Raw genomic sequence first — 15713 nt, forward strand, 5'->3', positions numbered from 1 at the left:
CGCTGAAATTTCCGATCTCTTCCCACAGGTATTCTCCTTTCCACTAGACCCTTTAGGATTTTTATCATAACCCCTTTAGCCTCTCTGTCTGGTAATTCCAACATCTAGATCATCTCTGGTACTGTTTGCTATTGTCTGTTCCTGTCTTGACATTGTATTACCATTTTCTTACCTTTTTCTGCTCTCATTACATACAAAAGAACACTACATACTGAAGGAAGTAATGTTTGCTTCCAGAAAGGTGCACTCCTGTTTTTCTGTGACGCCGTGAGACTGGGGGATAAATCAATCTCATCTGAGTTAGACTAGATTGAGATAATTCTGTTGTAGTTTTAGTTTTATTCAGTTCACCGCTAGCTTCAAATATCTTAAGGACAGGATAGGCACTTTTCCCGTTTTATCAGAAATGGAGGTCTCAGCACAGGTGAGGTTCTGGGGATTTGCCTGTGACTCACAGCTGAGCCATCAGCTTTCAGATATGTGGAAGACCTCTCCTTGCTTTACAACTAGGCTGACAAATCCTTGGTCATTAATACATTGTCTTTGCCTTCAAGTCCTGCCCACTGCTCTCTGCACCTTGGGAGTTTGCTTTCAGTCCTGTTGCCATTCTTCCGGTCTTCAGAGGTCTTGGGAAGATCTGGAATGCCTTGGGAGTTCTTTCTTATTTTTAGTTCATTTAGATTTCTTTGTGTTATTAGTTCTATAACGGCTATTAGTACTATGTTTTCTCTTGGTAATTAGGTGGAAGTTATAATCTCATAACTTTTAAAATCTAAATCAAAAGTGGGAGCATTTTACTCATTGTTATTGTTGTTATTCATGGTGCCTTGTGCCCGTATAGTTGAATGTCATATAGGAAAGCAAGATTTATATCTAATCAGCTTACTCTATGTGGTGTCTAGAGCCATGATGCATATTTTTTCACCATGGTCCCAAATAATTTCCTCCTTACAGGTCATGCTATGTGTCACAACCCTCATGATTCCACAGTTTGCCGAAACTTCTTAGCACTCCTTTATGAGTCTCCCACCTCCTTGGGACTCATTTTCAATTTTGCAACTGTATTAGGTGCGGGGTCTTGTCTCTCTTTCCTGCTTATGTGTGTGTGTAAACACACACATGCACACTCACCAGGAAGATACAACAATTTATCCACTCTGGAATCTGGCTTCTGAGTCAGTATTTTCATGCCATTCCCACTGACTTGTAGGATTAGTTCTTGTGTCGTGTCAACAAAGCATCTCACCATAGACTAACTTTCTTAACACATTTAGGAAAAGCCAGGAAAAGAAGTAATTTGGAACCTGAAAAAACTTGAAAGGGGGACAACTGACTTTTAGCTCTTTCCCTGGAAATATTGTAGGGCCTGGAGGACCTTTCTCAGCTTTGGAATCAACCTATATCCCAAGGATATGGCTGGTGAAGGGACAGCCAGAGATGAATGTTGCTAGGCCTCTTAAAATGGCCCTGAGCTGAGCAGGTCAACAGCTATGGGAAAAGGGGAGGCAAAAAATGTACTCAGTTCATGGCAAGAGCCTGGAAACAGGTAAAGGACAGGGAGGAGGTAAAGAGGGGACTCCGACGTAGCTGTGCCAGCCGTGGCTCCCTGGCCCAGAACTGATGGTTCTGATTATTTCCCACTGGATGCCACCATTTGCCATACAACATTAGAACCCCACTATTCAGTTCAAATCATTTCCTTTCAATTCAATGCAATTCAGTTTCATTCAATCTGACATATTAAGTATGAATTAAGTAACTACTCTATGTCTAATGCTGTGTTAGTCACTGTGATGATTGCAGAAAAAGCATTGTGCAAAATGGCTCTGTTCTTAAGGAGATTGTGAGTATAATCCTACTACAGAAATAAGAATGACTCAATGTTCAGCTAAAATTAGAGAACAAAGTAAGAGAACTGGACTGCAGGATCAGGGTTTTAATTCCTGATCCACAACTTAGTGATGGGGCCACTTAATCTCTCTGTACCTCACTTTCTTCCTCTGTAAAATGAGGGATTGTAATAGATCAGTGGTTCTCAAACTTACTGCACTTAATATCCCTTTTATAACAAATAATTTGTAATGCCTCATTTACCAAACTGAAATGAAATTTGCAGATTTTATACTTAGATATGTAATAAAAATCAGTATAATACCCTAAGTATAATATAAAGAAGGAATAAAAAGCAAGCATTTTAAAATAAATAATATGCACTTTAATATGTAAATTTTCAGATATAGCTACAATAGAAGATGTAATGAAGTACTTGGGTGGTTGCACCTACTTACAATGAATAAGTTTGAGTTTAAGAGGCATTGAGAAGATCAGAAGCAGTCTGTGCTGGAAGTACATGAAATAAAGGAACAGAGGTACACACACTCATATTCTAGAACTAAAATCCATGTAAGGGTAACAAGTAACAGACTAGACTTATTTGCACATAAAAAGAGAAAGTGGGAAACAGCTTTAACTGAAGCAAGGACAATGTGCCAACTCTAATTATAAGCTGCATGTAGAAGTAGGGAAAATGAATATTCTTACAGATGAGCTGGGCCTTATTTATAAACATGGTGTCAAAATAATGCCTGATGTTGTGACGGGATGGGAGAGTGACAGGGCATCACGGAACATACACCTTCCATGTGAAGTCCCACCATATGTTAAGGCGTGCATTCATGCATGGAGTCTCTGGTTTTCTGGTGGGGCACTTGAGATTTATGTAGGATATGAGGCAGTTCCTTGTTTTGCAGGACTGTCCCATCACTGTCGGACTTTTGTTCTCTTTCCAGCACATGCTAATAGTGCTCTATAATTATAGTGGTAACCAAGAATACCCCCATGTGTTTTCAAAATACCTCGCCCATGAAGAAGTTATCATGTTTGAAGCTCTGTCAGTCTACTATTCTGATATTTCAGAGTCAAATGAGTGGGATGGATAATAAACTCAATGGCAAGTCATGATGGGGATGATCAGTGAGAACAGAACCATCGTGATGGAGGAAGCAGGCCTCAAATTGGTCTAGAAGGATGAGCAGAATTTGGCTAGCAAGAGTGGAAGAAAATGTTGATAAATGGCTAGGCATGTTGGCTCACACCTGTAATCCTAGCAGTTGGGAGGTCAAGGCAGGAGGATTGTTTAAGCCCAGGAGTTTGAGACTAGCCTGGGCTTAAATGATGGCTAGTTTCTGCAAAAAAAAAAAGAAAGAAAAGTAGCCAGGTGTGGTGGTGTGTACCTGTGGTCTCAGACACTTGGGTGGCTGAGGTCAGGGCATTGCTTGTGCCCAGAAGGTTGAGGCTGCAGTAAGCCATGATCACACCACTGCACTCCAGCCTGGGTGACAGAGCAAGACCCTGTCTCAAAATAAATAAATATATAGAAAAACTAAAAATGTTGATCAAGATTGCAGGGGAGGCTCCTAAATAACATAAATATTAATATGTTGACAACCCCTGAGTCTTGTCTTCCCATAACTCCAATATCCAGATTCTACATTATACCTACATGTTCAGTGCAACTGATCACAAATTGAGAGGGGCTCTAAGTACATTAAAAGGAATATATTGCATTCATTAACACTCCCCAATTTTAGACTTTTTGTGAATTCAAATTTACTTTAAAATGGCAGTGATTCTGAATTACAGAGATTTCTAGTCAACCAAAGAAAAATTTTCAAAACACAGTCACATGGGGCAAAATAAAGGAGAGGGGTTCCAAACCCAGGGCTCCTGGGACCCCTCAACTCTTCTTGATTTGCAGAGTATCAATGAGAGTTTCCATTCTGAAAATACACAGCTACCCTCTAACTGACACTCCATTGAATATCTCTGCAGACGATGCTGAGATTTAGGCTTTTAAGAGCAGCTTGGGAACCTTTTTGTTACAAACAGAGTTTTGATGATAGCTCTTAAGACTGAGGAAATATGGCATCATGCTCAAGTGCCTTAATAGCTGAAGGAGCAACAGAATCAAGCACACCTGAGATGACCCTCACTGTTGGTGCTTCAGAGGAGCAGTTGTGGGCGGCGGGCACAGTTAGAAAAACAAAAGAGAGCTTCAGGAAGAAGCTTTGGCTGCCTTGGCAGTAAGGCCAGTTCCTGGGGATTTGAAGGAGTTGTGCACCTCAACATCCCAGGAGAAGGGAAATAAATCAGCGAGATCTCATGGTGTTGTGTACTTCATAACCACATCTCCTGCACCTCTCCCTGAGATACTGCAGGAGGGATTCAAAGCTTCAGAACCCTCTCTCCTGGCCATGTGACAAATCAGGGTAGTAGCAGTGTTGGGGAAATCTGGGTTCTATGTTCATTTTTTCCAGGTGGCTCTTTAAACCCACTCATCACTGTGTGATTTCTGGGAAACATACAAAGGAGGAAAAAGGGAGGATGCTATAGAAAGAAGGAGGCATGCAAAGAGAACAGAAACCAGAAGTTATGATGGGATAGAACTGGAATGAGCGTTGCGTGCCAAGTCGGATGCCTGGTTCCTGGTTTGGCTGGTCATCACTGTCTGCGTGGTCTCCCAAGTCCTCCAGCATCACGTCAGAGCCTGCCAGTCGCATCTGATGTTGCTCACCCCTTGCTCTCTGTACCCTAGTATCTCCTTTCCTTCTCAGTTCCTCAAAACCCCTTCACTCCTGTGAACCAATTCACTGTACATGCACTAACTTCTCAGGGGACAGACTCCCCAGACCCCTTGGTGGTCAGTCCATATCTTTTCTCTGACTAACACCTACTCAAGGAGTAGACAGTGTACCTAGTGAGTAATTGAGGAGTGTTTTTGTTTGTTTGTTTTTTTGAGACGGAGTTTTGCTGGTATTTCCCAGGCTGGAGTGCAATGGCTCAATCTTGGCTCGTTGCAACCTCCAGCTCCCGGGTTCAAGTGATTGTCCTGCCTCAGCCTCCAGAGTAGCTGGGATTACAGGCATGCACCACCACACCTGGCTAATTTTTGCATTATTAGTAGAGGAGGTTTCTCCATGTTGGTTAGCCTGGTATCGAACTCCTGACCTCAGGTGATCCACCCGCCTTGGCCTCCCAGAGTGTTGGGATTACAGGCATGAGCCACCAGGCCCAGTTTGAAGGGACTTTATTAAAGAAAGTATGGGCAGATTTAGCGGAACCGAAAAGGTGTGGTGAGCCGCAGGAACTGGCCCAGTGGGAAGTCTTCATTTCACATAAGCCTATAGGGGCAACCAGAGGAGCAGGCAGTGGTTCTCTTGGAGCTTTGGCTGTGGGAAGGAGCTGCCTGAGAGGCAGCAGCTGCTGCCTAAAGCAACCTCTGGACCCTGGGAGGTTGCAGGACAGACAGCCACTATAGAACCAGAACCTCCCTGAGCAGAGCAGCTGTCAGAAACACTGGAAGAAGTGGCTCTGAATATTTGCAAGGGTGGGTAATTGGCAAATCTTGTGCAAGTGTAGATAACTGACTATCGTTTATACCCAGTCCCTAACTGCAATGGATTCTGGGAAGTAAAGTTGTATGTAAGCTTTCCAACCACTCTAAAAGGAGAATTCAGAGGATGAAAAAACCATTCTAAGTATCTACTCTAACTCTAGGGCTTTACTAATAAGTTCTGCCTGCCTGAACTCCACTTTGCAGATATTGCAAAGTTCTCACCCTCACTTCCTCTCAGTCTTTGCTCAAATGCTGCCTTTCCAGGGTGGCTCTCTTTCCTGTCCCTATGAAGTGGTGTGCCCACTTACTCTCTATTCTCTCTTCACTGGTTCTGAAATGAAAGCCACTATTTATTCATTTATTTCTTTCTCCCCCGACCAGGATGTAAGCCCATCTGAGCAAGCGTTTTTTGTTGTTGTTGTCGGTTATCTCAATCACCCTGTCTTCAATGTCTGTGTCTCAGTAAATATTTTTTGAAAGAATGTTGAATCAATAAACCTGGAGAAGAGAAGGCTCAGGCCAGACTTTGAAGGGCTATTATAAGATGCACTGGAGAGTTAGATGTATTCTTTTCACAGAGGTGATGTTGCAAAGGAATTGAGGTAGAGGAGGAAGGTGATACTCTCTGTAATTATGAAGGTGGTCACTCTGGCAGCAGCTGAGAAGGCAGCCTGGGGAGGGGAGCAGTGGGAGGCAGCTGTTCATGAAGGGAGTGGGTCAGCCAGTCATTTGAGCAGGACCTGCTGGATGCAGATCCCTCTGCCAGGCCCCAAGGAGTGTGTAAGTGGCCTGGGGGAGGGTGCTGAGCTCTGACAGCATAAAAGGCACAATCTCAGTCCCCTGAGGAGCCAGCAGGTCTATTCAGAGAAATTAGAGTCAATTACCTGCATAAAATGTGTAGAGCACATGAAGAAGTACAAATTAACACAGCAGGAGTACACAGGGTCCCATGAGCACCCTCTAGAAAGGAAGAGCTGTCTTTGGCCATGCTTGACCTAGCAGACTTCCTGGGAGCCACGAGGACGCGTGGTGCACCAGCAGAAAATTCTGGATAGCAGCACATGCAATTATCTGCCTGGGAGCTTGTGGCCAGTTGACAAGACACTGTCTAGACACTGCCTGGCATGTGGGAGGAGCTCATATTCTCTCTCTTTCAAACTTGTTGAATCAGCAACTGAAAAATGCAAACCCTATGTAATTTTCTGAGTGCTCTTGCCCCCTCTGTTTGGCACACAACTCTGTGACTGTGTTTTCCTGCTTGAAAGGCTCTTTCCTTGGCGTTAGTTTTCCTCTCTGGGTCCTCTTCCTTCTTGAATAAGGATGATATCCTTTGTCTTAATTTTTTCTCCTTATCTCACTGCTGCTCACAAAGGCATAGTTCCCTCTGATAGCTGCTTCTGGGAACAAGACCCCTCCAAATCAATGACTTGTTTTGTGAACTTGAATTAACCTTGCCAACAGCTCCTTAGGATGTTCCACTGTGAGGAATGATCTAAAACTAAATTCTCTTTCCCCCATGATAAGTTTACATGCCCATTTCTTTAGGCTATGGTGCCCAGTTGTTTGGCCAAACACCAGTCTAGATGTTTCTGTGAAGATATTTTTTTAGATGTGATTAACATTTACAGCAGAGGACTTTGAGTAAAGCAGTTTACCCTTCATAATGGGGGGGTGGGTCTCATCTTACCAGCTGTCAGTGTTAAAAAAACTGTGAGGCGCTCTGAGATGGGAGGAATTCCGCCTCTGATGGTCTTTGGACTTAAGACTGCAACATTGACCCTTCCTGCTTGTAGATTTCAGACTTGCCAGCCTCTATAATCTTGCGAGCCAATTTCTTAAACATCTCTCTTACATATATACATCCCCTTAGCTCTGTTTCTCTGGAGAATGGAATGCTAATAAACTGGCTCCCATTGTTCCTGCCTGGACTCATTGTCTCTGATGGGGCAGGACCATCTGCCCAGTGACTTAACTCACCCTTTCTCCTCCTGCTCACCCCTGACATCCAGTCATCACCAGATCATGTCAGTTTTACCTTCTAAACTTATTTTAAATCCTATCCTTTTTTTCCTGTTTTCATCACTATGTCCCTATAAAAGTTACTATCTTCTCTAATAAGACCTACTACTCTACCCCACTGCTGAGTCTCCCTGCAATCTCTCTTGCCTCCTCCAATCTGCACAGTGGTGGTCTTTCTAAATAATAAACCTGATCTTATGGAACAATTCAATGGCTCCCTTTGATCTCTATCATAAACTAGAAATTCATTAATGCTGATTAAAAGGTCCTAGAAGATCTAGCTCTTGCTACATTTCTTATCCCATCACCAGCTCTATCCAATCCCCACCACCTTACTCTGCTTCTTGAAGAAGCCATGACTTATTATGCCTCAGGGCCTTTGCACGTGCTATCCCCTTAGCCTGGAAGACAACCTGCGCACATTTTCCCTCTGGCTAATTCCTCCTCATCTTTTAGATGTCATTTCCTCCAGGAAGTATTTTCTGACCCCTCCAATCTAGGTCAGATTCGGCTTCCATATGGCTCCATCACACTTACCACATATTATTATTACCTATTTGATTTTCTACCTCCCTGCAGACTGCGATTGCATCTTGCTCACCACATATTGCATCCCTGGTGCCTAGTGTTTAATAGATGCTCATTACATTTATATCAAATGAATAATATCTAAATAAATTCCAATCTGTTTTTTACTGCCCCTGTCTACAAAAATGTTATTAAAAACGGAGTCTATTCAGTGTCTTACTAACTTCTAAATAAGTTAATATATAAGAGAGTCTAATCTCTCTGCCTTTAGTGACCTCTCACACTGCTGCTGGTTCTGATACAGTTTCTTTGTTCAGGGCCTTCAATACTTTGTCATGTCTGGTGTCATTCTAGGTCTTCCTGCTTGCGCATTTCAGGTGTGCCATGTCTGGTGTTATCCTAGCCATGAGATGACTGTCCATTCCTAGGGCCCTATATCGTAGCCCAGTGAATCTCTCCTAGCCGTTGGCTATCTTCGCATTTCTCCTCTATGGTGGTTTCCTCGTGTTGTCTCTTCTTGGAAAAAAAGCCTTTCCAGACTCTGAACTGCCTTTGTCCTTCCTTGGATTGTAGTTAATTATCCTCTTTTCTAAACACCACATGATTTACATAAGGGAAAGAGTTAGCAGATACAAGACCTTAGATAAGCTAGCTCATTTTTAGAGGGTCAGTATCCTCACCTGTAAAATGGGACTCATAATATCTACAGCATTGTAATAACAGCTTTCACTCATCCAGTTACAGCATGTGCTGAGTAACCTTCTAAGCATGCTGCACATGTTAACTTACTGAACCATTGCAACAAAACCCTCTTTAGTGCCGGAACTGAGGCAGAGAGAAGTGAAGCAACTTTCCCAACATCACAGAACTGGAAGTTGCAGAACGGGGATTCAACCCCGGCAACCTGCTTCCAGGTTTGAACTCTCACAGCATAGCTACACTGCCTATTAGTAAAAGTGAGATAATGAATAAAGGTGCTTAGTCCAAAATGCTGCTCTAGCAGGCAGAGTGGGTGCCTTGGGGTCAGGTGGATTTGAGTGTGATTCTGCCATTTAGGAGCCGACTGACCTTGAACTGGTTATTTATCTAATAGATACCTCATCTGAAAAATTGGCATATTACTAGTATTTCATAGAATTCATTCTGCATGTTGTAAAACAACCCATAAACATGTTCTTAGAATAGTGCCTGGCACATGGTAAGATCTTCATTGATGTGCATTTTATAATTATGTCTAATAATAATCTTTATTATCACAGTCTGCTCTGTGCTATAATTGCTTGTGTGTTTAATTTTAATCCATCCTGTGAGGTCATAGTCTTTTTGTTCGTGGCATATGTTTTAGGTCCTTGCACACAGTAGATGCTCAATGTTTGTTAAATGAGTAAATAGATGATCTTTTCATTGTGATTCATTTAAGAGGTTGTAGAAAGTTTGGTGAGCTGAAAAAAGATTTTGGTCCAATTCCATCTTAGGGGATGGAAAGGGTTCCCTAAGATGGAAGTGGTGACGTCAATGGACAATGCCAATTACCACTTTTTCTCCTGCTCTGTCTACTATTCCCACTGAAAGAGTTCATGGCTAGAGGGCTGGGACTGTCTCTCTTTTCATCCTGTTGAGGCAAGGTGGGTAATACGCATCCCACAGCTGGGTCTGAAGGACTCAGATTCTTCCCTGATCTGAAGAAATTACATTGACTTTTTCAGACACAAAAGAGGCTTTTGGTGTTGCCGTTGTTGTATGTAGCCAGGAATAGTGGGGGCTATAGAAACAGGAAGGGATTCTGGAGAGAATTGGGGCTTTGGAGAAACTAACCTGGAGCCCTGATTCACCATCAACAGTGTGATTCTGGGAAAATCATGTAAATGCAGGTGGGGTGGGTCCATTTTCCTTATTTGCCAAATGTGAGATCAAATGGGAGATCCTACAGGAGTGGACTGGGGAAGCATCTTAAGGACCTCCTTGGTTTAGCACGGCTGCCTTGGTGCTGAAGGTGGGTCTCCTGGGAATCTAAATCACTGTTGTCTCACTGACTGCCAAGGCAGAGACAAGCCCTGTGGGAAACCGAGCTCATATGAGGAGGCGAAGTGAAAGTATCAGGTGACGCTAATGCTTGAAGGAATCTTAAGGATCAGCTGGCCCAGCAATTCTCCAATTCTTGCTGCCTCCACAATTTCTGCCATATCTGCACACCATCTGCAGTTATTGATGCAGTATTTTCCTTTAATACCAGTCGCCTTTTTACTTAAACATGTATAGAAAAAAACACTTTGTACTATTACTGTAAATGTAAAACCAATATCACTTCCTATAAATAGAAGGCAAAAAAAGAAATAAAACGAAAACTCAGCGATGTCATTAAATTCCAGTGAGGTACTGCTGCTTGTCAAGGTTCTAAGCCTGAGGCCAGCCTTCTCCTCCTTGAAAAGGTAAATTAGTAGCCATTAAAGAGGTGTTAACTGAGAACTCAGAACCAAGCTGGGACTTGAAGGATTGAATGATAATTGAAAAGGAGATCAATTGCTCACTCAGGATTAAATGTAACTTACTACTATATTCATGCTCCCTCTAAAATGATCTCCACTGCTCTACATTTTAGAGAAAAGGTGACTTTGGTCCAACCTTGTCATTTCACCAATGATGAAATTGAGATCCAAGTGGATCACGTCTCTGTTCACACCACCCAGGAGCTTTTCAGCCCAGACTTGTGACCATGATGTGTTGGTCACCTAAGGGTCACGTCGCAACCACCACTGCCGAGAGAGATGTGGGGATTCCGTAAGTCAAAAACTATTTTCAGCCACCTCAGGGCATTTGGATCTATTATTTCACTCAGTCTTCGAAGCGGCCCCATGAGATAAATAGGCCTTGTTTGATTCTGGCCATGGTATAGATGTGGAAGTGAGATTACCTGATATTTCAGGCCCCTTGGCTGGCAGGTGGCACACCAGGCCCCAACACCACCCCCCTAGTTTACTTCCTTCCTGCTACATCACCCAGCCTCTCAGAGAAGCTGGCATGACCTCACTTCATCTCCATCTGCTTTGTGATTGAAATTTATATAACCACACTGATTGTATTCTCCGTGAACAAGATACTATAGGCCTTTACAAGGTTTGAGTTCTCAAGTTCACATCCTCATTATTCTATCCAAGGCATCTGGGAAAGGAAAATAAACTTTTCAAGTAAAACCTCATCTCTTCAACCTAACCTCAGGCATGAAGCAGGAAGATGGCATAAAAACAGCCAGGGAGTCAGCAGGTCTTGCTGCAAGCAGGCTGAGTGGCTGAGTGATTGTGCCACCGGACCAGGGCTGGCGAATGATGTCAGCAGAGCAGGAGGGTCCAACCTGCATAGTTTGAGGGGATCACATCCACATGTGGCCACATCAGGACTCCCCTTCTCCCCTCCACCCTGCCCAGTGCACAGTATTCCCATTACTATCTTTCAGTCTTTCAGTGACATTCACTTTTTATAAAACAAATTACATACATGCTGGACTTTTTAGTATGTAGGTAAGTAACTGCAATCCGTCTTCGATGCTTTTCCGAAAACTACCAGATAAAGTTGAAACTAATTAGCCTGGCATCCAAGTCTTTTCATGACGTGGCTAAGTGATTGTTCTGGTCGGCATGGGCCAACCTTCCAAGCTCATTTCTCTGCCTCCTCAGGCCTTACTCAGCCTTCCGGAGCATACTCTTGCTCTACTCCTGTATTAGCCAATTTTCATGCTGCCATAAAGAACTGCCTGAGATTGGGTGATTTATAAAGGAAAGAGGTTTAATTGACTCATGGTTCAGCATGGCGGGGGAGGCCTCAGGAAACTTAAAATCATGGCAGAAGGCCAAGGGGAAGCAAGGCAGCTTCTTCACAAGGCGGCAGGAAGGAGAAGTGCCAGTAGGCGAAGTGCCAGATGCTTATAAAACCATCGGATCTCATGAGAACTCACTGAATATCACAAGAACAGCATGGGAGGAACCCACCCGCATAATTCATATACCTCCACCTGGTCTCTCCCTTGGCACAAGGGGATTATGGGGATTACAGTTCGAGGTGAGATTTGGGTGGGGACACAGAGCCAAACCATATAAACTCTCTTGAGCCCCAAGAGCCAGGTGAGCAAGGGATGGTGCTGTCTGTCAACTTATTTCCTATTTTGTGAAGAAATTAGTTGTGTTGTGTCTTTTTGCATCTCTTTATTTTGATCTGCTACTTATATAGTTGCATCTTAAGTGTTTAGTGGTAGGTATTCAGTTACCTGTATTTTGTTTTTTTGGTCACAGTGTGTTGTGTTCTGTGCATTCTGCTGCTGCCTGCTCTGTATTGCATATGAAGTAGATGTTCCACACACATGTGGCCAGGAGCTACCTTCCTAGCCAAAGTACAATTACCAAGTGTTAAGAGTTTTAGGAACTGTGCAAAGCAGTTTGGGAGTTGTGTTGATTGCACTCCCAGGTAGTGAAACAGAAAGTTGCAGCACCCATCACACTATGCTATTGCACCCTTTTTCTTTTTTCCTGACCTAAAGGAAACAACTGCTTTCTGCAGAGGCCTCAGGATGGGAGAAGGGATACAGTTTAGCAAACCCAGCCCCATCTCCCCAGCCTTTGCAACCCCCCTTCTTACTTGCTGGAGTCCTTTGTGTTCCATCAGAGAAGAGGAAGATGAGAGCTTCAGTTCCCCCTCTCCTCTTTCATTCTCTCCCATGCTTCATTCTTCCTTCTTTGCTTTCTCCCATCTTCGGGGCTGTGGTTGGCTACCAAGTCTATTCCCTGTGGCCTTGTGGAAACTTGGGGAGTGAGGCAAATTCACTGCCTGGGCCATGAAATCAGGGAGCAAATTCCAAGTGAGTATTGGAGTGCCTCATGGGAAGAGGCACTGCTGCCTGGGCTGTAATTGTCATGGAGGCCGTTGTCATGGTGACTCCACTAGCAGGCAGAGAGAAAGGGTGCAAAAGACTAGGGAATGAGAGAGAGAGGGAGGAGCAGAAAGGGGGGAAAGGAGGTGAAAGGGGAAGATGGCAGAAAGCAAAGGGAGGGAGGAAGAGAGGAAGGGAGAGAGAGGTGGAGGGGAGGGAGTTTCCGGGAGGATGTGGAAGTCTTTGATTGGGGGAGACAGCAGGAGCTAGGTGGGTAATTGTGGTTGTTGCAGGAGGGGATGAAATGTGAAAGGCCAGTGAACCAAGAGGTGAAAAGGTGGGAAGGAGGAGAGGGGATGAGTAGAGATGGGGAGAGTGGAGAAGCCTGAGGAAAAGATGAAAGAAGGGGCTTCGGAATAAGCAGGGGCTGGCGTGGGGAGGGGAAAGGAGGGGAGCCAGCCAGGCTCTCAGAGTGATGCTTAATTATTGCCTGATGTTTCCCATCTCTATCTGCCCTTTGATCTCCTGTGTTACACATTAAATATGAACAATCAAACGGCTGCATCTCATGTTTAAAAACTTGATGAAGCGAGACTTCAAAGCGAGCAGTGGAGCAAAATGGGCGTCTTGCCTGGCTTTTTGTAGCGTGGCTTTGCTGGCCCAATTAGGTTAAAGGGAGCCCTGAAATTCCCTCTCGATTGGAGCAGGGCTCCTGTACTTGTTCCCACCACCGGCTGCCAGACTTAATGAGATTAATGACCCAGGCTGGTCAGCCACCAACTGACCCCTCTCCGGTCACTGCAGACCCACAGAGGGGCTGCCCAGAAGCTGGTACCTGGGACCAAGCCCTCATAGGCTCTGCTTCTGTATTCCCAGGGAGGCCTGGGGCTGGATGGGATCCATCCTCCATGTGGCTGGGAAGCAGTTGGCTGTATAGCCACTGTGACAGGTGCCCGGAGTAGCAGGAGGAGTCCTTGAGCCCTGATCTTAGCCTGCCTCTCCAGATTTCCATTCTAGGTGCCTGAGGTCCCAAAGGCAGCCATATCCACTCATCCAGGAAGTCAGAATTAGGGTCTTGTCTGCCAAGAGCAGAGATCTAGCTGCTCTCCCTGCACCTTAGTTTTCCCCTCTTTCAATGCAGGGACCAGACTAGATACTACATTGTTCTCTCCAACACTTTTGGGCTTACCGGGCTTACTCCAGGCACCTTACAGGGTGCCTCTGCCGGGTGGTTTCCGGAACATCCTTGTGTCCCTGGAAGGAATGCTTTTTCCCATCCTAAACCACACCTCTTCAGCCTGCTCGGAGCCTTTTGCTACTCCAGGGCCGTTTCCCTTCCCTTTCCCCCAAATTCCTCCAGAACTCTCACATTGCCTGAACCATGCCTACCTGATGGAAGGAGAGACAACTGATAGCATATTCATACTGGGTTGGGGGAAGTTAAATGAGAGTATTTGTATTTTGAAAAAGCACATCTGGAGAGAAGGCAATGATTCACTCAGAGGAAGGTCTCTGAGGGCCCAGTTGTTGAATTTTATGTGTAGGAGGAGGTGGAACTGCAGGTGGCCCTCAAATCTTGCCAAATAGGGGAATTCTTACCCTTTCTATGATCTTTTCTTCTATGTGGGTGTTGGCGGCAGGGGGGTTACTCTGGGCATTATGGGCTGAGACTATGAAGTTTGGCTTATGCTTTTAGGCATACATATCTTCTCTCCCTCATCATCGCCCATTTTGTAGAAATGGGACTTGTGCTCAGCAGTAATTTATCTAGGCACAGTGGGGCTGGCAGGAGCAGGGAAGGTGAAGATGTGCGTCAGAGGAGCTCACAGCCAGGGCAGACTCAGCGCAAAGCTGCCGATGAGAACAGTTCCACCTTCTGGAGCATCCTGAGAACAAGGCTGGCCTCATTTTCTGCTTGGGTTCATCGTCCACACCCTTGAGGTTCTGGCCCCGAAGAGAGTTTCCCAGGCATCTTTTCTGGCGCCCTCCCTTCTGGAGCCATGTCTGAGTGGCAGAGTGAGCCACCGCGTGCCAGCCCCACTGATGGCTGCCGGCAATGACAGATGTTATTTTACAGAATGTGACCCCAGAGATGTGACATGTATAGTTCCTAAGTGCCAACTGGGAAAGCTGGGGAAGGAGGGAGCGAGGAATGAGGCTCTACCCTTGGCTGTTTTTCTCCAGCTGATGGGGTGCAGGGAATATGGAAGCGGAAAGTTGCTTTTTCTTTTCTTGGCATCTGGGAGATTTCAGTGCTCAGGCAGTCCTGTGTTGGCCTCTGAGCTCATGAACAGATTGATGAGATCTGACCAGGTCTAGTGGACCTGCAGATACTTGCTTCTCAGTGCAGGGAACTGGGAAAAAGTGATGATGTTTCCTTGTCTTCCTGGAGGCCTCTGACAAGTCAAGCAAAGCCAGAAAGAGAAGGGGTGAGTGCATCTGTCCTGGTCCAGACTCAGAAAACACGGGGTCTGGAAGCTCCACACTGTAAAGCTTCCTGGCATATAGGTTCCTTCACAGCACAGCACTTAAGAACAGGCTGCCTGGGTCAAAGTCTGGGTTTTCCTGGCCGCGCATGGTATCTCACACCTGTAATCCTAACACTTTGGGAGGCCACAGTGAGTGGATCACCTGAGGTCAGAAGTTCGAGACGAGCCTGGCCAACATGGCGAAACTCCATCTCTACTAAAAATACAAAAATTAGCTGGGGGTGGTGGCTCATGCCTGTAATCCCAGCTATTTGGGAGGCTGAGGCAGGAGAATCACTTGAACCCAGGAGGTGGAGGTTGCATTGAGCCAAGGTTGTGCCATTGCACTCCAGCCTGGGTGACAGAGCAAGACTCCATCTCAAAAAAAAAAAAAAAAAGTCTTGGTCTTCCAGAGTGATCTGGGACTAGTTACATAATGCTCTGT

General features: G+C 44.9%; 1 long non-coding RNA gene across 1 annotated transcript in view, besides 1 other annotated feature; it reads left to right on the forward strand.

The window, feature by feature from the left end:
• LOC105379315 (uncharacterized) overlaps positions 1-15713 on the forward strand; it is a 283462-nt gene that overhangs the window by 22346 nt on the left and 245403 nt on the right. The window lies entirely within an intron of this gene.
• Positions 10186-10699: an enhancer, noted in NCBI's record as "NANOG hESC enhancer chr8:20554878-20555391 (GRCh37/hg19 assembly coordinates)". NCBI's record gives its function as "activates a minimal SCP1, AML or CMV promoter by ChIP-STARR-seq in naive H9 embryonic stem cells {active_cell/tissue: H9 hESC(naive)}" and the evidence as "EXISTENCE:reporter gene assay evidence [ECO:0000049][PMID:30033119]".

This window comes from Homo sapiens, chromosome 8 (assembly GCF_000001405.40).
Source record: "Homo sapiens chromosome 8, GRCh38.p14 Primary Assembly".
Classification (NCBI taxonomy): domain Eukaryota; kingdom Metazoa; phylum Chordata; class Mammalia; order Primates; family Hominidae; genus Homo; species Homo sapiens.